General features: G+C 36.0%; 1 long non-coding RNA gene across 3 annotated transcripts in view, besides 1 other annotated feature; it reads right to left on the bottom strand.

Moving 5' to 3' along the window:
* SOX2-OT (SOX2 overlapping transcript) overlaps positions 1-24,869 on the bottom strand; it is a 685,549-nt gene that overhangs the window by 205,712 nt on the left and 454,968 nt on the right. The window lies entirely within an intron of this gene.
* Positions 121-1,320: an enhancer, noted in NCBI's record as "MED14-independent group 3 enhancer chr3:181252985-181254184 (GRCh37/hg19 assembly coordinates)". NCBI's record gives its function as "activates an origin of replication core promoter dependent on BRD2, BRD4, P300/CBP and CDK7 cofactors, and independent of MED14, by STARR-seq in HCT116 cells {active_cell/tissue: HCT116}" and the evidence as "EXISTENCE:reporter gene assay evidence [ECO:0000049][PMID:35650434]".

The raw sequence follows: 24,869 nt of genomic DNA, 5'->3' as shown, positions 1-24,869 counted from the left end.
GTGCAATGGCACGATATCAGCTCACCACAACCTCTGCCTCCTGGGTACAAGCGATTCTCCTGCTTTAGCCTCCCGAGTAGCTGGGATTACAGGCATGTGCCACCACGCCTAGATAATTTTGTATTTTTAGTAGAGATGGGGTTTCTCCATGTTGGTCAGGCTGGTCTCGAACTCCCGACCTCAGGTGATCCGCCCACCTCAGCCTCCCAAAGTGCTGGTATTACAGGCATGAGCCACGGCGCCCGGCCATCTAAGCATTTTTAGAGCTCCATAATGCTATGGGTTGGTGTATCAGAAAGGAATTGCTAAGCCATAAAAAGCATTTTTGCAACCCTAGTCATATATGAACAATTATTTTCATATAATGTTAACCAATGTCAAGAGAAAAAAATGAAGAAATATGCATACCAGGAAAACCTAGAGAAATGCAGATTTAATATTTTTCAGTTTATCATATTTTTGGGTGAATGCTTATAATGACACATGGTTTTCAATTATTTGGTGTTTCTCAACTTTGCATTTGCTTGAGACTATTCCCTCAATGAACTCAACATTTTCAAAGGATCAAAGGAGATTTTTTTTTCTTTTCTGAACACAGAAAACTGTGGAGAAAAAATTAATTTCAGTTTTCTTTATTTTCAGATTGCTCCTGTGTTTCATAGATGGGAAATCATACTGATGACTCAACCATATATAGCATTATTTTGCTGGTTCATGCTACCTCAGCGGAAAGTAACAAGGCTAATTATTTTTCTCTGCATGATAAAAATCTATTACATTTATTGAGAAGCCTACCAGTCGATAGACACATATTTATTTCAGGATAATCTAGCTCCTAAAATACTATCAATGACATTGACCTTTAGCTGGATTGCAAGAACAGAATACGCACAACTCATTTTTTCCCAGTTTCATAATTTTGGCATCCATATATTTTTTTTAGACAAGCTTAGGCTGCCTTTGCTTGGCTATGATAGATATTTTAGAATATCTCTGACTCATGAATATAAATAGTTGTGCAAAAATAAATTTCATAAAACCAGAGCTGGTAACAAAAATCACCTAGAGATCAACAACTCTGAAAGAATCTAGTGTCACATTCCTTGGTATGTCAGATTAAACTAACATGTGCCAGTCAATATTGCTACACTGCGACCCTTGATGCCTCCTAAGCAAAACTATTAAGTCCAACATTCTCTCCTGTAAGCACTTATCTGTAAGGATGGCTAACATGTCCTCTGAAGCAGATATTGAAACTGATTGGACAATAGGTAGATACCAGACAGGGGCCTGGGGGCTGACCTCTAGAAATAGGGGGAGAAAATCTTAATCTGCAACACAATGCCGTTCTCTTGAAACCCTATCATTTTCACTTCCCATGTGTCTGCTGCCTGACTGTGAATGGATTTGAAAAGGAATGGTTAGTGCTGAAAATTGGATCAGAGCTAACATTCTCTCATTTTTATCAGCAGCTGCCAAAGGTCATCTGACATAATAGCTGATGAATTCAAGCCCAGTGGATTTCATTTGCAATTTTCAATTTACTGAGGCCTCCAAACCCCACGGTGATAAAAGCTTCCCCTATCGTGGCCTGTCACAAACATCAAGAAACTGCACAAACCCACAAGAAAGAAAAAAGAGAAAGCTGTGCATCATCACAGCTATAGATAAGGAGAACAGGAAGAAATGGTATCATGCAGGAAGATGGGGAGCAGCCTGTGTGGCTAGTTCTCTAAATGCCAATTGAAACGAAAAGACTATGAGGAACAATCAAATAACTTCCACAGAATAACAACATGTTTCTTTGGAGCTTTTATGTGAAAATTGCCTTCTAATCTCTGACTTGACATGCTCCCACACAAAAATGTAAGTGTAAATATGCAAATAAATAAATGAATAAATAATCCTTGCTTACCTGGTCACTGGAAAGCACACTCTCTGTGCTGTATTTACCACAGTTTTGCTTTACAAAATGCATGCTCATAGAGGGTCTTTGATCATGGAAGTGTAGGCTCAGCACCAATAAATCATTTTTCTTAATTTTTTTTTTTGCAGATAAATGGTAGATCCTTTGATTGATTTGCCAGGGAAGTCAAAGGACTGACATAGCAACTACTTGTAAGTGGATCTAGATGTAGTACATATCAAAGATGCATTAGCAAGAAGAAGAAAGCCATTTTTCCCCCTGTCAAACTATTTACAATGAACTTAGGCAGGATCGGGAACTGAATCCTGTTCCCAGGCAGTTGTTCAAATTGAGCAAACCATATGTGTGTTTCTTGGAGAATAGCAAGTTTGATAACTCAGCAGGTCACCTTTGTCCTATCCTACTTGACTCATACCACGGCCTGGAAAAGGAGAAAGCAAATAGATGTCCACTGCTTGAGGTGTAGCTGCTGGGAGAATTTAGTTTCAAACGGAGATGTCTTGATCCTGTTTCTACCAAATAGGTTCAGGAAGGCTTATGAAGTTTGTCTGATGCAGTAAGAGGACTTGGCAGTGGGCATGTACCAACCTGCCGAATGCCAATATTTCTGATGACACGTGACAAGAAAATCTGAGAATGATATCAACAGGACCAGAATATTAACTTTATTTGTGTGTTGCTAACTGTGTGACAATCACAGTTTGGAAAGGAAAAGAGAATAATTCCTAGTTGAACTCATATGGCAGTGAGAGATTGCCTTCTGTAGAGTTATTCTTTAAAATTGTCGCAGCAAAAACAAAAGTAGGAGCTACTTGTTGTAAGTGAATCTTGAGTTCTTTGAAATTAAACTGTTTCTTAAGATTCTTCTATTAGCAAAAAAGTTAGCAATCTTTTAATTCTTCAAAGTCTCAACATAGAAAATAGTTTCCTCAGTAGTCGAAAATGACAGGAATTAACATTTTGAAATAAGAGAAATAAAACTTTATTCTAAAGCTGCAGAAAATGTGGAAAGTAACAATATTTTAGCATTTTAGTATTTTTCCCCTACACAAAATTATCAGGATGCCATTTTTTAAAGTTGCTTTCACCCTACCTTTTTTTTTTTTTTTTTTTTTTTTTACTTTCTATAGGTTCAATGAGAACTCTCTATGATTTGCAATTTCCATGGGTTCTCTTTCAATTGTTAGCGTAATACTGAGACCCCACTGATGGTAATATATTATTTAATGGGATCTTAATTTAGACAGGCTTCTGAAAAATACATACAATTTGGTAAGAGTATTTCATTATCACTGTGCTTCTATGGCAGTGATATAAGGCAAGCTGTACCAATTGGTCTGCAGTTACACAGCATAAAGGTTAATCTCTTTTATGTTCCTTTTATTAGAAAGGCAGATCTGAATCTTCGGGGCAGAGCCCTAAATTGTTCTTGTAGATGGATTGGTTCACAGAGACTCTTCCCTCTCATACCCTATGGGTAATTACATTCAGTCAGTCCAGAGTATTCACTATAGTTTGAATGGTACAAAAGAGCATTTCTCATTTCATTAATTAGTTCTTTCATTCCTTTATGCAGCATTTATTTAGTGCCTACTAAGCACAGGTATGTTGAGAACTATAAATAAGACTTTCCCCACTTTCAAGCAGTTTACAAAAGACAGGAGTAAAGAATGTTTTAAATCTGTCTTCTTTCTTACCCGCCCCACCCCCCACCGCCGCAAAATTGAGTTTATGTCATATATCTATTAACACTTTAAAATAATAAAAAGTTTATATTGAGAATTTGGGTGATGGAATAATACCTTTGGCAACCAGATAACATCTTATTTTGTGTTTCCCAATTTTTGGTAATATGTGCATCACCATAACTTTTTTTTTTTTTGCCAAATTGATATACACCCTATTCTTACTAAATAACTTTTCGTTGAACTCAGCTTTAAAAAAATTAAATAAATTCAGTTAGAAAGGCATCATTAGATATACTACCACAAACAGAAAGCCTGTATCACAAGCTATGAATAAAAAATAATTATAAATATAAGTATATAACTATTATTATTATATAACCACCTACATTATCTCATGTTCTATGGGCAGTAAAAGTATCACTCTTTGGAAAATACTGGTTTTGTGCATGGTGCTGATAAAAACTACTGCTGCAGATTTGACTGCCATGAGAACGCAAGCTCTGTGAGAACAGGTACTTTGATGATTTTCTTGCTGTACTCCAATTCCTAGAACAATGCCTAGCAAATATTAGGTGCTAAAACATAATTTTAAAATAAATAAAAGCCAGTTAGCTTCTGAAAGATCAAGTTGTATTTCTCCTATAGTCATACTCATTGTGCTTTATAATAATTACTTGTTTAATGCTTCTCATAATCACTGCACTCAAAAGCTTTGTTTTTCTTGTTCACTCCTGTTATAATCATTAATGCCCAGAACTATGTCAGGAACATAGTAGGTGCTCAATAAATATTCATTGAATAAAAGGACTTGCCGTTCTAAAGTCATACAGCTTCTATTGCCTCATTGGTCATTTTTTATTAAAGGAGCTCAGTTGACCAATATTGGCTTAAAGCTATTCAACATCTGGCACATTAAATAAAAAGAAAACTTTGTTGAATAAATAAATAAATAAATAAATAAATAAATAAATAAATAAATAAATGAACATTTTTGTGACACCAGAAAAAGAGAGTTAACCCTGTTTATGGAAAGACAGATCTTAAAGGGAGAACAGATAATTCTTTTCAATGCTTAAATGTAGTGCCAATTTTCAATTCTTGAAGTAGTCACCCCTGGCAAGGTTTTCTTACAATTTTACAAATTAAGATTGCACTAAAATTTATGTGTTTGTAGAAAAACTGACAAATATTGAGGTCAGCAAATTACACCAAATGGTACCAGCCAGTGATTTGATGGTATATTTTTATTTAAATTGCTTTTATGAATTCCTTGATTTACTTAAGAATCAAGCATCCTGACTAGACAAGTGATATTTACAAAATCTGAGTTTATGTTTTTCTATTACAAAGACATCCATAAGAAGAAATAGTGAAGAATTAGCTGCATTTCTCTGGTCCCCACCTCCAAAGGAGTATTGTCAATCACTGCCCAAAACATAAGCTTTTGTAGGTTTTGAATGCTTTGAACTGGAAAACGACTATTTTAGTGGATAATTAAAGGGTGTTACAGCTGATTGAGCTTGTGTAGAATCAGGAAAATTGGTGGGATTGGATGGACATATAGGTCACAACACTTTTCTTTTGTAATATTTTCTACTGCAAATGATTCTTCAGTTGAAAAATCAAGGCTTGAGCTAAGGTATCACAAACGGCTTGATAAAGTATGACTTGAAAATCAAACATTGGGAGAACTATGTTTATCATTTAACAAATCAGACTCAGCTGGAATGATTTCTTTAATAGACTAATTCCTTCTCATAAATTTACTGATTGAATTATGTATAACCTGTTTCATTTGAGCAAATCTTCATTTCTCTAATCTGTGCTATATGGAATAGGGTTCAGTAAAATATCAATGAGTATTTTGTTGAAAAGAAAATTTGGGGTCAGAAAAGTTTGGAAAATTTTGGGCTGAACAGATTTTAAAATCTGCCCTTCAGAATATATTGTGACCAGTCAATTTATAAAGGGTAATATTATCAAACATTTAAGTACTCACTACTCAACTCAATCAATATTTCCCATTTTTATAATATCTTTTAAGAAGTAATAAAATTAATTATTTTATTACTGTAATAAATGATTTTATTACATTAATGTCATATTTTATTACTGTAATAAAAATTATTTTATTACTGTAATAAAAATGATTTATTACATTAATGATTATAACAGGAGTGAACAAGAAAAACAAAGCTTTTGACCAGTGCAGTGATTATGAGAAACATTAAACAAGTAATTATTATAAATTAATAAAATATTACATTTAATTAAATGTCCCTCTATACTTTTTCCCACTTCCATTCTCCTCTTACTCTTTTCAAAGGCCATCAACATTCTAAATTTGCTACATTCCCACACATACTATCACAGAATACATGTATATAGTATTGCATGCCTTAAAAGTTATTATACATTGCATAATATTGTACAAAACTTCTGCAAATTTTCACTGAAAACTACATTTTGTGATATATTTATGTCGATACATGTAGGATGAATTCATTTTAACTTTATATTTAACTGTTAATATACATATTTTCAACTTTTTGGTAATATAAATAATGTGGCAAACTTCTTTTCTTGTTCCAGGATGTTTTTCTTCCTTCTTACTCTTGTGGTGCTCAGTGGGTGTACTCTTGTACACCTAGTGGAGCTCAGCCCCCCAAAATTTTAGACACCCTCCTGCTGTGAGGGTGGCTTCCAGCAAGTGCAGCAGCTGTCCCAGTGGGGATGTTCCTGATAAGTTCCACAGTCACTCTAACTAACTTCCCAGAGAGTTCAGGAGACCTGCTATGGCAAGCTTCCCAGAGAGGTCCATGAACACTCTACCCTGAAAGCTTAAGGATAGCTTTGGGCTTGCCATCTGGGAACCAGCTTTGACCAGGATCAACTCTGCAATCTTGTTTTCCATCCAGTGCAACTACAACTTTTCCAGTGAGGTCTGGGGAAGTCCCCCCTCCCAACCACCTTTTAAGTTTGTTATTTCCTTGGGCACTCTCCCTTAGCCCTACAGCATTCTTTATAGAATTCTTTTTCATTCCCTCTAGTGGTTAATCCTCTGTAAATAGTCTCTCTCTCTCTCTCTCTCTCTCTCTCTCTATATATATATATATATAGATAGATGTATACATATATATATGTATTTTATATATGTGTAAATATTTACATTTTACATATATTTACTATACTATTTACATATTTAATATGTAATATTTAATACTATTTACATTTATAAATGTAATATTTAATATAAATAAATATTTAATACTATTACATATATAAATATATATATGTAAATAGTCTCTCTCTCTCTCTCTCTCTCTCTCTCTCTCTCTCTATATATATATATATATATATATATATATATATGTATTTTAGACATGAGGCCTCTCTGTGTTGTCCAGGCTGGACTCCAACTTCTGGCCTCAAGTAATCCTCCCATCTTAGACTTCCAAAGTGCTGGGATTACAGAAAAGAGCCACCACACCTGGCTATAATGGTTACTAATCCTTTATATTAACTGTAGCTATTGTATTTTTAATGGTTATTAATTTATTAAGAGTTTCTATTGCTTCATGAGTCAATCCAGAAATTTATATTTTTCTAGAAAAATGTTCACTTCATCTAAGTTTTCAATAAAATCAGCCTAAGTAATTTATTTTATTTATTATTTTTTCTTTCTATTTTCTCTCCATCTTTATTTTATTTATTTATTTTATTCCCATAGGTTTTTGGGAAACAGGTGGTATTTGGTTACATGAGTAAGTTCTTTGGTGGTGATTTGTGAGATGTTGGTGCACACGTCACCTGAATAGTATATGCTGAACTCAATTTATAGTCTTTTATCCCTCGCTCCCTTCCCACCGTTTCCCCCTAAGTCCCCAAAGTCCATCTTATCATTCTTATGCATTTGCATCCTCGTAGTTTACTTCCCACTTATTAGTGAGAAGATGTGATGTTTGGTTTTTCAATCCTGAGTTCCTTCACTTAGAATAATAATCTCCAATCCCATCCAGGTAGCTAGAAATGCCATTAATTCATTCATTTTTATGACTGAGTAGTATTCCATCATGTATATATACCACAGTTTCTTTATCCACCCATTGATTGATGGGCATTTGGGCTGGTTCTGCATTTTTGCAATTGCAAATTGTGCTGCTATAAACATGCATGTGCAAGTGTCTTTTTCATGTAATGACTTCTTTTCCTCTGGGTAGATACACAGTAGTGGGACTCCTGAATCAAATGGTAGTCCTTCTTTTAGTTCTTTAGGGAATCTCCATACTGTTTTCCCAATTCCCATCAAAATACCACCATCATTCTTCACAGAACTAGAAAAAATAATCCTGAAATTCATATGAAACCAAAAAAGAGCCCACAGAGCCAAAGCAAGACTAAACAAAAAGAACAAATCTGATGGCATCACATTCCCTGATTTCAAACTATACTATAAGGCCATAGTCACCAAAACAGCATGGTACTGTTATAAAAACAGGCACATAGACCAATGGAACAGAATAGAAAGCCCAGAAATAAACCCAAATGTTTACCCAACCAATCTTTAAAGCAAACAAAATCATAAAATGGGGAAAGGACACACTATTCAACAAATGGTGCTGGGATAATTGGCAAGCCACATGTAGAAGAATGAAACTGGATCCTCATCTCTCACCTTATACAAAACTCAACCCAAGATGGAGCAAGGACTTAAATCGAAGACCTGAAACTATAAAAATTATAGAAAATAACATTGGAAAAACCTTTCTAGACATTGGCTTAGGCAAGGATTTCATGACCATGAACCCAAAAGCAAATGCAATAAAAACAAAAATAAATAGCTGGGACTTAATTAAACTAAAGAGTTTCTGCATGGCAAAAGGAACAGTCAGCAGTGTAAACAGACGACCCATAGAGTGAGAGAAAATCTTTACAATATATACATCCAATAAAGGACTAATACCCAGAATCTACAAAAAAACTCAAACAAATTAGCAAGAAGAAAACAAGCAATCCCATCAAAAAGTGGGCTAAGGACATGAATAGACAGTTCTTGAAAGAAGATATACAAATGGCCAACAAACATGCGAAAAAATGCTCAACATTACTAATGATCAGGGAAATGCAAATCAATACCACAATGTGATACCACCTTACTCCCTCGAGAATGGCCATAACAAAAAATCAAAACATAATAGATGTTGGTGTGGATGCAGTGAATAGGGAACACTTCTACACTGCCGGTGGAAATGTAAACTAGGACAACCATTATGGAAAACAGTAGTATAGTATTTATTATTTTTTAATAATCTTGGTCGGTCATGGTGGCTCATGCCTGTAATCCCCGCACTTTGGGAGGCCGAGGCAGGCGGATAACGAGGTCAGGAGATCAAGACCATCCTGTCCAACATGGTGAAACCCCGTCTCTACTAAAAATACAAAAAAATTAGCCAGGCCTGTCGGCCTGCGCCTGTAATCCCAGCTACTCAGGAGGCTGAGGCAGGAGAATTGCTTAAACTGGGGAGGCTCACTGCAGTGAGCCAAGATCATGCCACTGCACTGTAGCCTGGTGACAGAGCGAGACCCTGTCTCAAAAAAAACAAAAAACAAAAAACATAAAACAAAAAAAAACCTCTACCATAATATTTAATTGATTCCTTTTTATTCCTAATGTTATTTGTGCCTGAATATGTGCTTGTGCTCCTTCCCCCCTCTCTGTCTCTCTCTCTCTCACTCTCCCTCCACCTCTCCTGCTAAAAACCAGGTTCTGTCAATTCTCACTAGTGTTTTTGTTTTTATTTCATTGATATCTGTTCTATTACTTGTATTTCTTTTTATTCCTCTGTTTTATTAGGGTATAGCTGACAAATAAAAACCGTATACATTTAAGGTGTACATATGATGATTTAGTATATGTATACATTGTGAAATTATTACCACAATCAAGCTAATTAGCATTATTACAGGTTTTTCTTTTGTTGTAACTTCATTGAATTTACTGTTTTTTCCAGCTTCTTGATCTCTCAACTCTTGTATTTTCAGAAATTTTAGCTTCAAAATATTTTTATATTTACAAGAGATTTATGCCTTAAATCAAAAATATTTATGGTTATATTTTAAAGTCTTTTAATGTACACTTTGTAAAAGTGTTTTTGTTGTTCATTTCTAACAATTGCATTATGGGTTGGAGACATGTAACATATCTATTTGATGACATTTTTTGATATTTGCTTTGTGACCTAGTAAATAGACAACTTTCATAAATGTTCCATGCCCTTGGACATTATTTTATTTACAGGATGTTGTGCCTAATCTGTGTCTAATCTGCTATTCCTTTGTGTGCTGGCTTTCATTTTTTCTTTTGAGAAAGCAGCTATCTTATTTTTTAATGTTTTTAAAAAACATTTAAGAAGCCCTCAAGAAAGTGAAGGTTTGTGGGTCCAATATCCAGGGAAAGAAGAAACCTATGTGTCCTAGATAAAATTTATTATTTTGGCATTCAAATCTTTTATAATGCTGTTAATGTTTTGTCTGCTTGACCCATACATTTCTAAAAGAAATGTCTCAGAATATCACTCTAAAAATGTACACTTGCCAATTTTTACTTGTAATTTGTCATTTTTTGTTTGGAACATTTTAAAGCTGTGATGCTGGGTACATAACAGTTCATTATTGTTATATCTTTTCAAGGGTTTGCTCTTTTTATTATTATGTGGAATGCCAATCTATCATTAATAATGCTTTTAGTTGAAATTCTATTTTGTCTTACCAGCTTTCTTCTGATGAGTGTGTTCCCTGAGAGAAGGTAAGTCATGCAAAGCCTTGTAAGTAAAGAGTTTTTTTTAAGCTTTTCTTTTAGTGAGATAAGAAACCATCAGAGGATTTAGAACGGAAAAAATGGCATGATATGACAGATGTTCAAAAGAGTCACCTTGACTGTTGTGTGAATAGACAGAAGTGGGTTGGGGTGGAAGCAGGAAGAATAGTTAAGTCTATTGTAATAAAATTGGCAAGAGATGATGGGAATTTACACTGCCTGAAATGGCAATCTAAGCTGTTTAGGATCAATTTTCCTGCTGAGAATGACTGGTTAAACAGGACAAAATATACTTTTTGAATCCAGAAAAAACATTTAAGAAGCCCTCAAGAAAGTGAAGATTTGTGGGTCCAATATCTAGGGAAAGAAGAAACCTAGAGAACTGAGTCCAACATTTGTTTGGCTCTCCCCTTCAAGGTGTTTGCCAATTCTAAAAGCATTGCAAACAGGCCAAGAAGTTGTGCAAAGCTTTCAGGACTCTCAGAGCCCACCAAGGAGGCAAGACCTTGATAATAACCCAAATTGGTTTGTGAACCAGAAAGTCTGTGTTATTAGAGTAAAATTAACCCAGAACTAGGTTACAGGGATTAAAGCCAAGCTTTGAACAAATTTATTTCCTAGTTCATCACATTTCAAGGTGACACGAGATCAGGGGTGGTCATAGCCTAAATTTTTGCCAGAAACAATTGTAACTTGTCACTAAAGAAAGATAATGTTATCAGAAGCTTCAAAATATCTTTAAAATATTAATGAGAGAGATGAGAAGATATGACACGACAAAAAGTAGATACTAGAAATAAATATACTGGAGATATGGAAAATGAAGTTATCAGACATAAGTTTAAAAATAATTATGTTCCATATGTCCAAGAAATTAAAAGGCAGGATGAAGCATTTTAATAGGAAATTGAAAACTATACAAGAAAATCAAATAAAAATTTTAGAAGGCTGGGCGTGGTGGCTCACGCCTGTAATCCCAGCACTTTGGAAGGCCGATACAGGCAGATCACCTCAGGTCGGGAATTCGAGACCAGCCTGATCAACATGTAGAAACCCCATCTCTACTAAAAATACAAAATTAGCTGGGTGTGGTGGCACAGGCTTGTAATCCCAGCTACTCGGGAGGCTGAGGCAGGAGAATTGCTTGAACCCAGGAGGCGGAGGTTGCAGTGAGCCAAGATTGTGCCATTGTACTCCAGCCTGGGGAACAAGAGTGAAACTCCATCTCAAAAATAGAAAAATTAGAAATAAAAATATAATAATTGGGTTTAATAGCACATTAGACACAGTTTAAGAAAGAATTTATGAAGTGGAAGACAGCTCAAGAAAAAACATCAGATAAGCATGGAGAGACAAAAGAATGGAAAATATAGAAAAGAAGCATAAAAGGTATATCAGATACATTCGTAGAACAGAGAGTAGAGATGAACTAGGAAAGTGGCAATATTTGAAAAGATAATGACTGAGAACTTTCTAAACTATTAAAAGATATCAAGCCACATTTTAAACAAGCATGGTAAACACTACATAGAATAACTACAAAGACAACCTGAGTTAGGCTGTTTTCGCATTGCTCTAAAGAAAAACCTCAGGCTGGGTAATTTTTAAATAAAAGAGGTTTATCTTGGATCATGGTTCTGCAGGCTGTTCAGGAAGTATGACACTGGAATCTGCATCTAATGAGGGCTCAAGAAGCTTCTAATCATGGCATAAGATAAAGGGGGAGCCAGGACAGCACATGGCAAGAGCAGGGACAAGAAAAATATGGTAGGCCCTTTTAAACGACTGGCCCTTGTGTGAACCTGTAGAGTGAGAACTTGATCATTGCTGCAAAGACAGCACCAAGCCATTTATGAGGGATCTGTCCCCATGACCCAAACACCTCCCACTAGGTACACCTCCAATATTGGAGGTCACATTTCAACACGAGATTTGGAGGGGACAAACCATCCAAATCATATCACAACCACCCCAAAGCACATAATAGTGAAAGAACTGAAAACCAATTGAGGGAGAAAAATCTTAAAAGCAGAAAGAAAAAAACCATATTACCTTAAGAGGCAAAAATAAGATAGCTGTTTTCTCAAAAGAAAAAATGAAAGCCAGCACACAGAGTAATTATGTTTTTAAGACACTGAAAGAACTTTGCTGTCAACCTAGAATTTTATACTCAGTGAGAATATCTTTTTAAAATGAAGCCATTTTCTCCAGCCTGGGTGACAGAGCAAGACTCTGTCCCCCACCCCCGCCCCCCCAAAAAAAGGAAGCCATTCACAAACATGACCAAGAAATAAGATATCAACATGCTTATGAATTTTATAATAATAAAAGTTTCAACTCACCAAAAGATTTAAAATTCTGACTTTGTATGCACCTGATGACATAGCATGAAAAATATATAAAGTAACAATTGACAAAATTAAAAGAAGATATAGACAAATTTGCAATCATGGTGGAATAATTCAACATACCTGTCTCAGTAACTGATAGAACAAGCAGACAAAAAATATGAACAGAAGATTTAAATACAATTAACAAACTGAACATTTCACCCCCAAACTACTTTCTTTTCAAGTGAACATGGAACATTTGTTCCAATTGATGTATAGTAAAGTATAAAGCAAAAAAACAAAAAAATTCAAAGCATTGTCTCTGACTACACTGGATATATACTAGATGTCAATAACAATAACAAGGCTAAAAAATTCACAAAATTTAGGAGTTAAACAATAAACTACTAAATGTGCGGGGGGGGGGGTCAAGGAAGAAATCACTCTGGAAATTAGAAAATATTTGAATTGAAGGATAATAAAAATGCTACATATCAAAAGTTGTGGATTCAACTAAAACTATGCTTTGAGGGAAATTGATATATATATTAGATGAGAATAAAGATTAAAATATTAGATGAGAATAAAGATTAAAAATAAGTATTTAAGCATCTACCTCAAGAAGTTAGAAAAGAAAAAGAAAATTAAATCTATAGAAAGTAAGATTGATTTAAAAGAGAGAAAAGGGAGAGAGAAGGTATACCTACTCAATAGCAGGACAATACTACAGATCTTACAGATGTAAAACTGACAAATTAAAAGATTATAAACAGTATTATGCCAATACAAAATCAGATAAAGAATACAGTCTTAGAAAAGTATAACTAACCAAGAGGAAATTTAAAAAATCTAAATAGTACTACATTTATTAAAGAGACTGGATCTATAGTTTTAAACACCAGGCCTAGATGGCTTCATCAACAAATTCTATCAAATTTTTGAGGAAGAAATAAACCCCAAATTACACAAAATCCTCCTAAAACAACAGAAAAGAGGGAAAACTTTCTAAGACATTACATGAAGCCTTGATATCAAAACTTAATATGAATATTATAAAAAATAAAATTATAGAGCACTTTCTCTCTCTCTCTCTCTCTCTCTCTCTCTCTCTCTCTCTCTCTCCCTTTCCTTGTTTATTTCTTTCCTCTTTTTCTCGGGAACATAGATACAAAAATTCCAAGCAAAATATTAGCAGACCAAATCTAGGAATGCTTACAAAGGTAATATATTATGACCAGGCTGAGCTTATTTCAGTAACGCAAGGCTGGTTTAATATTTGAAAATTATTTCTTTTAAATCATCACATTAGTGAAATAATTGGGAGAAAAATCATGTGGTAATTTTAATAGGTCCAGAAATAGCAGTGGATAAAATTCAACACCCACTCATGTTAAACATTTTCAGCAAACCAGAAATAAGCGGTGTTATGGATGGAATGTTTGTGTCCCTCTGAAATTCATATGTTGGAGTCCTATCCCCCAACGTGATGGTATTTGGAGATTAGGTCTTCGGAAGGTAATAAGGGTTAAATGAGGTCATAAGGGTAGGGCTTTCAGGGTGGCAATAGTCCCCTTTAAAGAAGAGATACCAGAGAGCTTGCTCTCTTTTTCTCCACATACACACATCATGGAAAGGCCATGTGAGGACACAGTGAGAAGACGGCAGTCTGAAAACCAGGAAGAAAACCCTTCTCAGAACCTGACCATGCTGGCACCCTGATCTCAGACTTCCAGGCTTCAGAATTATGAGAAAATTAATTTCTGTTGTTTAAGACACCCAGTCTGTAGCATTTTTTAAATGGCAGCCTGAAAAGACTAAGACAGGAGGGAACTTCCTTAAACTGAGAAGACGCATCTACAAAAAACCTACAGAAAGTATGATAACATATGATAAAATCTTGAAAAAGTTCCCTCTGAAATGTACAATGACACATGGATGCCCTCTATTACTACTTTTCAGCATTGTATTGGGGGTGCTTGGGCAATGGAATAAGGCAAGAAAAATAAAAGGTATAATGTTTAGAAAGGAAGAAATAATATTATCATTATTTGCAGATGACATAATTGTGTATGTAGAAAATACAAAATATTATACAAATAAGTTCTTAGAATTAATGTTTTAAAAGAATGTTGGCTATAAAGTCAATATATAAAAATAAATTGTATTTCTACATAGCAGCAAAAACCAACTAGAAAATAAACTTAAGAAGTGATATTATAGGCGATAGCATCAAAAATCATTAAATGCTTAGAAAAGATGTACAGGACCTCTACAAACAGAATAATCACAACTGGGAGAATTTTTAAAAACTTAATTTAATGGAAGAATATAGCATGTTCATGGATTGAAAGATTTAATATTAAGATGTCATTTGTCCTCAAATTGATTCACAGATTAATGCAATTCCAATCAATATCTCAGTTATACACTATGGAAGGTAGTAGGATTAGTAAAGAATTGAGTCTCATCAAAATAAAGCTTTACTGAACAACCCAAAGGAGTCATCTAGCCCCATTAAGTCAGCTGAGTCAAGAAAGAAAATCCAGTTTTGAAAGACCTGGACTTTAAGGTGTGAGGAAAAATAAGGAATTACTAAGCTAAATTAAGCTGTATGCAGATGAGAACATGAATGTTTCTTTTGTGCTTTATAGATGCACCTGCCTTTCATATCATAATTTCTTTGACGGCACCCAGAATCCTGATACGAAGGGTTATCTTTCGCATTCTACTGGTGAGGAAACTAAGGCTCAGAGAGCATTTACGAGGTCATAGAGACTTGAAATTCTAGAATGGGGTAAGAACACATTTTCCCCCTGGATTTGTGTTCATAGCTCTTTCCAGAAAAAGATGTCGAAAACTAATGTATATGCACCACTCAGGGCATGCAGGTACATAAATAAATACTATTTAAATTTAAGGTATATACAATTGCAAAAAAGAAGATATGCACAAATGACTATTGCAAAAGGCAGAAAAGGATAAATGCATGCTTTTGTATACACTCTTCCCTCAGCTTGGAATGCCTCTTGTGCCTTTATTCTCTGGCAAACTCTTGGTTGTCCTAAATTTCACTGTAGCGTTTTTTTTCCTCTGAGTGATTTTCCCTTCCATACAAGCAGAGTTCAACATTAATTTCATTTGCAGAAGTAGTATTATACAGGGATTAAGAGCAAGGGCACTGGAGTCATACTCTGAGTTTGCATCCTAGTTCTGACATTTAAGAGTTATTTAACTTTAGGTTACTTAGCCTCTCAATACCTTTATTTTCTTATCTGTAAAAAGAGATAATATTAGTATCCATCTTATAGGATTATTGTAAAGATTAAATAAGTTAATATATGTAAAGTGCTAGAACAGTGCCTGACACACATTTGGTATTACATAGATGAAAGCTGTGATTAATACTATTCAAAAATACTTATTGTGTGCCTACAAGATGCCAGGGAATATGATAAACTTAGTTGATAGGCAGATGTGAAATAAACAATTCCCTGTTTTGTAGTGGGGGTGACAGGCAGCGGGTAAATTACTAAACAAGATAATTTCCAATTTCAAAATTTCTACGAAGAACACACACACACACACACAGGGACGTAATAGAGGGTAGTAGGGTGTGGGTGTTTTCTTGAAGTAGGACGGTCAGAGAAGTGGTATTTAAGCAATCAGAGGAGAGCATACATCTTCATTGTTAATAACGGAAAATGAGAAGAGCCATGAGGAGATCCACGGGCAGAATGTTCCAGGCTAGAGGAAAAGATGATGAAAAATGCCAAGATTAGACAAGTTTGGCATATCTAAGAATGGAAATGAGATCAATGAGGGTGAAAAGTAGTGGAGGGCATGAGAGAGATGGAGAATGAAGCTGGTGAGGGAAGCGGATGTTGGATCATGCAAGACTTTGTAGGCCATGGAAAGAGCTGCTGGTTTTACGAATAGTTGGAAATCATTGGAGTAAGTTATAAGCAGTAAGAAGATATGATTTGATTAACGTTTTAGAAAGCTCTCCCTGACTTTTCTGTGGAGAATGGTTGCAGGAAGGCAGGACTGCAAGCAGAGACTATTAGGGAGACTGATAGGGCAAGAGATGGTGGCAGTAGTGGAAATGGAGAAAAGGGGACCAATTCACGATATGTTTTGGAAATGCAGTTTACAGGCTTGCCAGTAGGCTGGATGTGTGGGTTAAGGGAATGACAGGACTTCCAAATGACCAACTGGATGATCTAATCATTTCTTTGGGACATTGGTGGATTTAGAATATGCTTCTCTTCTTTATTTTTTTCACACAAATTCATAATGAACTATTATTTAGCTTCTTATTTCCCATTTACACTAATTGCTTCTTGAGGACATGAAATTTATTTGTGTGTGTTTGTGTATGTGTGCAGTTGTATTTCTAGAGTAGAGTGTCTTTTTTTTTTTTTTTTTTTTTTTTTGAGATGGAGTCTCACTCTGTCACCCAGGCTGGAGTGCAGTGGCATGATCTCAGCTCACTGCAGCCTCCACCTCCCAGGTTCAAGTGATTCTCCTGCCTCAGCCTCCCAAATAGCTGGGACTACAGGCGCTTGCCACCATGTCTGGCGAATTTTTGTATCTTTAGTAGAGATATGGTTTCACCATGTTGGCCAGGTTGGTCTCGAACTCCTGACCTCAGGTAATCCACCTGCCTCAGCCTCCCAAAGTGCTGGGATCACAGGCATGAGCCACCACACCCGGCCAAGTACAGTGCCTTATACATGCTACATGATCAATTAATGCTGGTTAGATTGAACTAAAATAGCACTAGGAGAAGTACAAATGAGGGAATGAGAATGGGAGAAATTATTTGCAGCCCAGGAAGGAACCAAGTGAAGCTTTTTATACTAATGACACATGAGATGGAGCTTTCACGGATAGCTGAATGTGGTTACACAACAATGAAGAAGAGCCTTCCAGGTAGAGAAAACAGTGTGTACAAAGTAGAAAAGTGGGGAAGCCAGGATGTGTCCAGTGTAGAATCCTGTTTGGCTGCAGCACACACAGTGTGAAAGAGAGCACTGGGAGGTAAAGTTTTAAAGGAGGTTGATGCCAGACCTTGAAACACTTTGTATGCCAGGCCAGGAAATCTGAGCTTCCTTCAATAGGCCCTGGGGTGTGGTGGGATGGGAGGCATGAAAGGTTTCTGAGGAGGGAGTATTATAATCTGATTAGAGCTGTGCATTAGGACGTTTAATCTGGTATGGTATGAAAGACAACCCTCATTTTCCATGGTTGTAGTATCTCCCTTACTCCTGTGGTCACTGTGCCATTATCCTCTAACCTCTCATCTGCAGTATTTAATCTTTCACTGGGTTGACTGATGGAGAAGCCATAACTCTTTTCATTAAGGATCACAACTTGATTAGCATACCAAATCAAATTACGTATTTCTGGCTTTTTTCATATGCCATTTTTACACACACACACACAGAGAGAGAGAGAGAGAGAGAGAGAGAGAGAGAAAGAGACTTCTCAAGGCTTGGCTTTCTCTTTCTCTCTCTACTTTCCATTCCCGGGATATGTCTCAGGCGTCTTCTCAGAGTCACATGGCCGTGGGGAGAATGACCAGTTCGGGTTCTGCTGAGTTCTCTGCCACACACTTGCCATGCTTCCTTGCTTATCACATTGCCCAGGATGCTCTGAGAGTCACACCCCTATCATTTTGTAATCTCAGTTCAGCTTTTTGGAAAGTAATTTTTTCATCTCTAGTCTGAAAACATGTTGTCATAGAGCTTTCCTTCTAACAACAGAGATCCCTCTATCTCTCTCTTTCTCTTCCAAGTAGCTTCTTTCTATAAAAGACATTTCCCAGCCGGGTGCAGTGGTTCACATCTGTAATCCCAGCATTTTGGGAGGCAGAGGCAGGTGGATCACGAGGTCAAGAGATCGAGACTATCCTGGCCAACATGGTGAAACCTTGTCTCTACTAAAAATACAAAAATTAGCTGGGCGTGGTGGCATGTGCCTGTAGTCCCAGCTACTTGGGAGGCTGAGGCAGGAGAATCGCTTGAACCTGGGAGGCGGAGGTTGTAGTCAGCTGAGATCATACCACTCAGCCTGCAGGACAGTGTGAGACTCCGTCTCAAAAAAAGAAAAAGATATTTCCCTTCTCATCACAGGTATACTAGCAATTCAAAGGGCAACTGCCCAAGCAGAAAGTCCCTTTTCATCTCTTTACTTCTTCCAAATTCACTACCTATGGATTACACATGTATACCCAAGAAATGTTGAGCTGTCAGATTGAACAAAAAGACCAAAATAGTTATTCTGACTGCATCGTTACAGGAAAATAAAATATTTCTAAATGACAAAGTATTCATTTTTCTTTCTTTTGAGAGCCATTCTTGTTGGGATGAATTTCACTTAAATAAATAATTAAAGAAATTGTTTTAAAAAATGCTTTAGCCACCACTTGAGTGTGACAAATATATTGATGCTTTAAGCTTCAAAATAAAAGTATACTGAAATGCCATTAAAAGGATATTTTAAGTACTTTTCCTTTATTTAAGAAGTATTATTTTCTGTATATTTATTCTAGAAAATATAAAGGCCAAAGAAGAATATAAAAATCACCATCCAAAGATAACTATTAGATTTACCACATAAACAGAATTAAAAATCGTATGATAATCTCAATTGACGCAGAAAAAGCCTTTGATAAAATCCAACATCCCTTCATGATTAAAACCCTCAACAAGCTAGGCATCAAAGGAATTTACCTCAAAATAATAAGAGCCATATATGACAACCCACAGCCAACATCATACTGAATGGACAAAAGATGAAAGCATTTCTCTTGGAAACTGAAACAAGACAAGGACACCTACTCTCACTACTCCTATTCAACATGGTACTGGAAGTCCTACCCAGAGCAACAGGCAAGACAAAGAAATAAAAGGCATTTAAATAGGAAAAGAAGTCAAATCATCTCTCTTCACTGATGATATGATTCTATACCTAGAAAACACTAAAGACTCCACCAAAAGGCTCCTGAAACTGATAAATGACTTCAGCAAAGTTCCAGGATACAAAATCAATGCACAAAATTAGAAGCATTTCTATACACCAATAACATTCAAGCTGAGAGCCCAATCAAGAATGTAATCCCATTAACAATAGCCACAAAAAATAAAATAGCTAGGAGTACATCTAACCAAGAAGATGAAAGATCTACACAAGGAGAACTACAAACCACTTTTGAAAGAAACCAGAGATGACACACATAAGTGGGAAAAAATTCCATGCTCATGGATTGGAAAAATCAATATTGTTAAAAAGGCCATACTGCCCAAAGCAATCGATAGATTCAGTGATATCCATTTCAAACCACCAATGTTATTTCTCACAGAATTAGAAAAAACTATTCTAATATTTATATGAAACCAAAAAAGAGCCTGAATAACCAAAGCAACCCTAAGCAAAATTAATGAAGCCAGGGGCATCACATTACCTGACTTCAAACTATACTATAAATCTACAGTAACCAAAACAGCACGGTACTTGTACAAAAATAGACACATAGACCAACAGAACAGAATATAGAACCCAGAAATAAAGTCGTACACCTACAGCCATCTGATCTTCAACACAGTCAACGAAAACAAGCAATGGGGAAAGGACTTCCTAGTCAATAAATAGTGCTGAGATAGCTGGCTAGCCATATGCAGAACTATGAAACTGGGCCTCTACCTTTCCCATATACAAAAATCAACTCAAGATGGATTAAAGAAAGATTTAAATGTAAGACCTCAATCCATAAGAACCCTGAAAGAAAATCTAGGAAACATCATTCTGGACATCAGCCTTGGGAAAGAATTTATGTTTAAGTCCTCAAAAGCAATTGCAACAAAAACAAAAATTGACAAGTGGAACCTAATTAATCCAAAGAGCTTCTACACAACGAAAGCAACTACCAACAGAGTAAACAGACAACCTACAGAATAGGAGAAAATATTCACAAACTATGCATCTAACAAAGGTCTAATATCCCGAATCTATAAGGAACATAAATAATTCAACCAGCATGAAACAACCCCATTAAAAAGTGGGAAGAGAAAACAATCAAACACTTCTCAAAAGAAGACACACAAATTTGGCCAACAAACATGAAAAAAAATGCTCAACATCACTAATCATCAGAGAAAGGCAAATCAAAACCACAATGAGATGCTATCTCACACCAGTCAGAATGGCTATTATTATGAAGTCAAAAAACAATAGAAGTTGGTAAGGCTATGGAGAAAAGGGAATGCTTATACACTGTTGGTGGGAATGTAAAATAGTTTAGCCATGATGGAAAGCAGTCAGGAGATTTCTCAAAGAACTTGGTAAGTACCATTCAACCCAGCAATCCCTCTACTGGATATATACTCCAAAGAAAATACATAATTCTACCAAAAAGACACATGCACTCAAATATTCATTGCTGCCCTATTCACAATAGCAAATACATGGAATCAATCTAGGTGCCCACCAACAATGTATTGGATAAAGAAAATGTGATGCATACACACCACGGACTAGTATGCAGCTACAAAAAGGAACAATATCATGTCCTTTGCAGCAACATGGATGCGGCTGGAGGCCATGTTCCCAAGTGAATTAATGCAGAAACAGAAAACCAAATACTATATGTTTTCACTTATAAGTGGGGGATAAACAATGGGTACTCATAGACATAAAGATGGGAACAATAGACACTGGGGACTACTAAAGGGGGAAGGAGGGAGATGGGCTAGGGTTGAAAGACTACCTATTGGATACTATGCTCACTACCTGGGTGATGGGATCATTCATATCTCAAACCTCAGCATCATGCCATATAGCAGGTAACAAACCTGCACATATACCCCCCTGAATCTAAAACAAAAGCTGAAATTATATTAAAAAATGTATTGCTCTTAAGTCTGAGAACTGGTTACATGGTTCTGTGTTTTATTATAAGACACAGAACTTTATTTTTTTAATTACACAGGTAAAACATGTCCAAATATATGTGGAAAACATGTATTTAAACATACCCAAATATGGAAAATACGGAAAATATTTGGGTATATATCCATATATACTTAAAGTATTCACGTGTGTGTGTGTTTATGTATATACATATATTTTAAAATTAGAACCATTAAACCTGAAAACATGTTGTCATAAAGCTTTCCTTCTAACAACAGAGATAGCTCTGTCTCTCTTTCTCTCTCAAGTAGCTTCTTCTTTCTATAAAAGATACTTCCCTTCTCATCACAGGTGTATTAGCGTTCAAAGGGCAACTGTCCAAGCCCTTGGCAACTGTCCAAATGTGTGTGTGTGTGTATATATATATATATATATATATATATATATATATATATATATTTCAGTTAATATTACATTATGGACAACTTTGGGCATTACTAAAATTTTCCAAGAACCATAATTTTAATGACATTAAAGTATTTCAGCTTCTGCATGTACCCTAATTTATCTGGCCACTTTATATTGTTGAGCATTTAAGTAGCTTTGGTTTTTCACTACTGTCAATAATAAAGTGTCTATTTTTGAAAGCCAAAAAACCTCCTACAAAGATAACTTATATTTTAATGAATATTCTTCAATTCTTTGTTCTATGCACAAACATATATGCATATAATTAATTTTTATAAAAATAGGATTATGCAGTACAGACTATTTTTAATGTACCTTTTCATTTAACACCATATTGTGAACATTATGATATTAAATAATGTGTTGATATAAGATTTTATTAGGCTGTAGAATATTTCATTGTATATCATATGGCTGCATCATAATTTATTTAACTAATTCCATTTTATGAGAAACTTAGATTGCCCTCCTTTTCCTTTTTTTTTTTTTTTTTTTTTAAAGATGAGGTCATACTATGTTGGTTGCCCAGGCTGGATTCTAACTCCAGGGCTCAAGGGATCCGTCTGTCTCAGCCTTTTGAGCAGCTGGGATTATAGGTATGCACCAAGGTATGTGCCCCCTTTTACTACTGATGACGAAATACCCATGCAACAAAATCTTCGGATATAACCACACAAAATTTTAATAATAAATTCTTAGAGAGTTTAGTCAAAGCGTATAGAAAACATCATGGCTTTTGATGTTTTCAGCTTAAGACAACAGACTGAGAAGAGGTTGCATCCCTAATTAACAAGATTGGGTTTAGAAGTGGCCTATCATGCCCACAGATGACAAAGCTTGCTCCACAGTCATCTTTAGAATACTCCAATTTATAAATAACAAAAATTCCACTGTAGATTTGCTCACAAAGCTCCAAACAATAAAAGCCTATTTCCTTTCTGCTTTAGTTGTTGCAAACTTAAGTGAGGGAAATTAATCCTTTTTAGTTCCTTTATGCAGAAATTCCCTTCCTTAGTGCAGGATCTATATACCCAATAAAGAAGTTATGATTGTATGGAATTAAAATTAGGAAATAGGCTGGGTCTGAAGGCTCACACCTGTAATCCTAGCACTTTGAGAGGCCAAGGTGGGTGAATCACTTGAGGTCAGGAGTTCAAGACCAGCCTGGCCAACATGGTGAGACCCCATTTCTACTAAAAATACAAAAATTAGCTGGGCATGGTGGTGCATGCCTGTAATTTCAGCTCTCAGGAGGCTAAGGCACAAGAACCACTTGAACCCATGAGGTAGAGGTTGCAGTGAGCCGAGATGGCACCACTGCACTACAGCTGGATGACAGAGCCAGACTCTGTCTCAAAAATAAATAAATAAATAAATAAATAAATAAATAAATAAATAATAAAATTAAGGAAATAAGGAAAGAAGACTTTCAATGAGATAGCAAGATAGTGTTTTTTTCTTCCTCTTTCTCTCCCTCTTTCCCTTCCTTCCTTTCTTCCTTTCTTCCTTTTTTAAAAGCAGAACAGTAGTACAGTACAGGAACCCAAAAGGAACCAAAAGCCCAACCTGAGTCATAGCATCCTTCAGATATATATGGTTATACAGCACTACTTTGGGGATTCTATATAGTATATTTACTCCTCTCCTTCCCTTGACACCTACATATTTCTTTTCTAATCCTTCCACTTACTCCTCTGTTGTTTCTTTCCTATCTCAGTACTTCCTAACCATTTCCCTAGCCAGACCACACACACAAACAGACTCCTTCAGATTGTCTTGAAGCCTAATTCCTGGCCTCTAGTCAATTCCCCTCTCACCTTCATAACTACTGTATTTGTCTGACCTTCCCCAAACACAATTTTCATGATTTCACTCCTCAGGCAAGAAGTTTTAATTGCTCTCTGAGTTATATCTTCCCTCATCTCCTTAGTCTGAGACCTCTACCAGTTGTCTCAACACAAGTTCAGCAACATTCCCGGGACATTTGGTTACCCTCTGGCCCAAACAAGTCATCAATAACCCCACAAGGGATGATACATAATAGTGAATATGTTCTCGTGGAAGCTCCCCAAAGGTCCTTTCCTTATTCGGTTTGTTAGCATGGTTTCCCCTCCTTAACATCTGACAGCCCTTGACTTTCTGGGTCCATTTCCTTCTTTTCCGTCATTCCTCACAACCTTCTATACTCAAATCACTCCAGACAGCTTGCCATCCCTGGAAGACTGATGCTCTTCCACATCTCATTATCTTGACTACTGGTATTCTCAGTGTCTTATGCTTATCTTCCTTTCACCACTTAGAGAAAGGTAAGACCAATACCAACCAATATCACTTCTGCAAACTGACCTCCCTAACTTGCATCAGCTGCTTTCTATTCTATTTTACCACAGTGTATTTGGCCGATTTCATGCTGCTGATAAAGACACACCCAAGACTGGGCAATTTACAAAAGAAAGAGGCTTATTGGACTCACAGATCCGCATGGCTGGGGAGGTCTCACAATCATGGTAGAAGGTGAAAGGCACATCTCACATGGGGGCAGACAAGAGAAGAGAGCTTGTGCAGGGAAACTCCCCTTTTAAAAACCATCAGATCTTGTGAGACTCATTCACTATCACAAGAACAGCACAGAAAGATCTGCCCCCATAATTCAGTCACCTCCCACCAGGTTCCTCTCATGACATGTGAGAGTTACAATTCAAGAGATTTGGGTAGGGACACAGCCAAAC

The sequence above is a fragment of the Homo sapiens genome, chromosome 3 (assembly GCF_000001405.40).
Source record: "Homo sapiens chromosome 3, GRCh38.p14 Primary Assembly".
In the NCBI taxonomy this organism is placed as follows: domain Eukaryota; kingdom Metazoa; phylum Chordata; class Mammalia; order Primates; family Hominidae; genus Homo; species Homo sapiens.
Note: the sequence above shows the minus strand (reverse complement) of the source record. Positions and strands in the feature narration are given on the sequence as shown.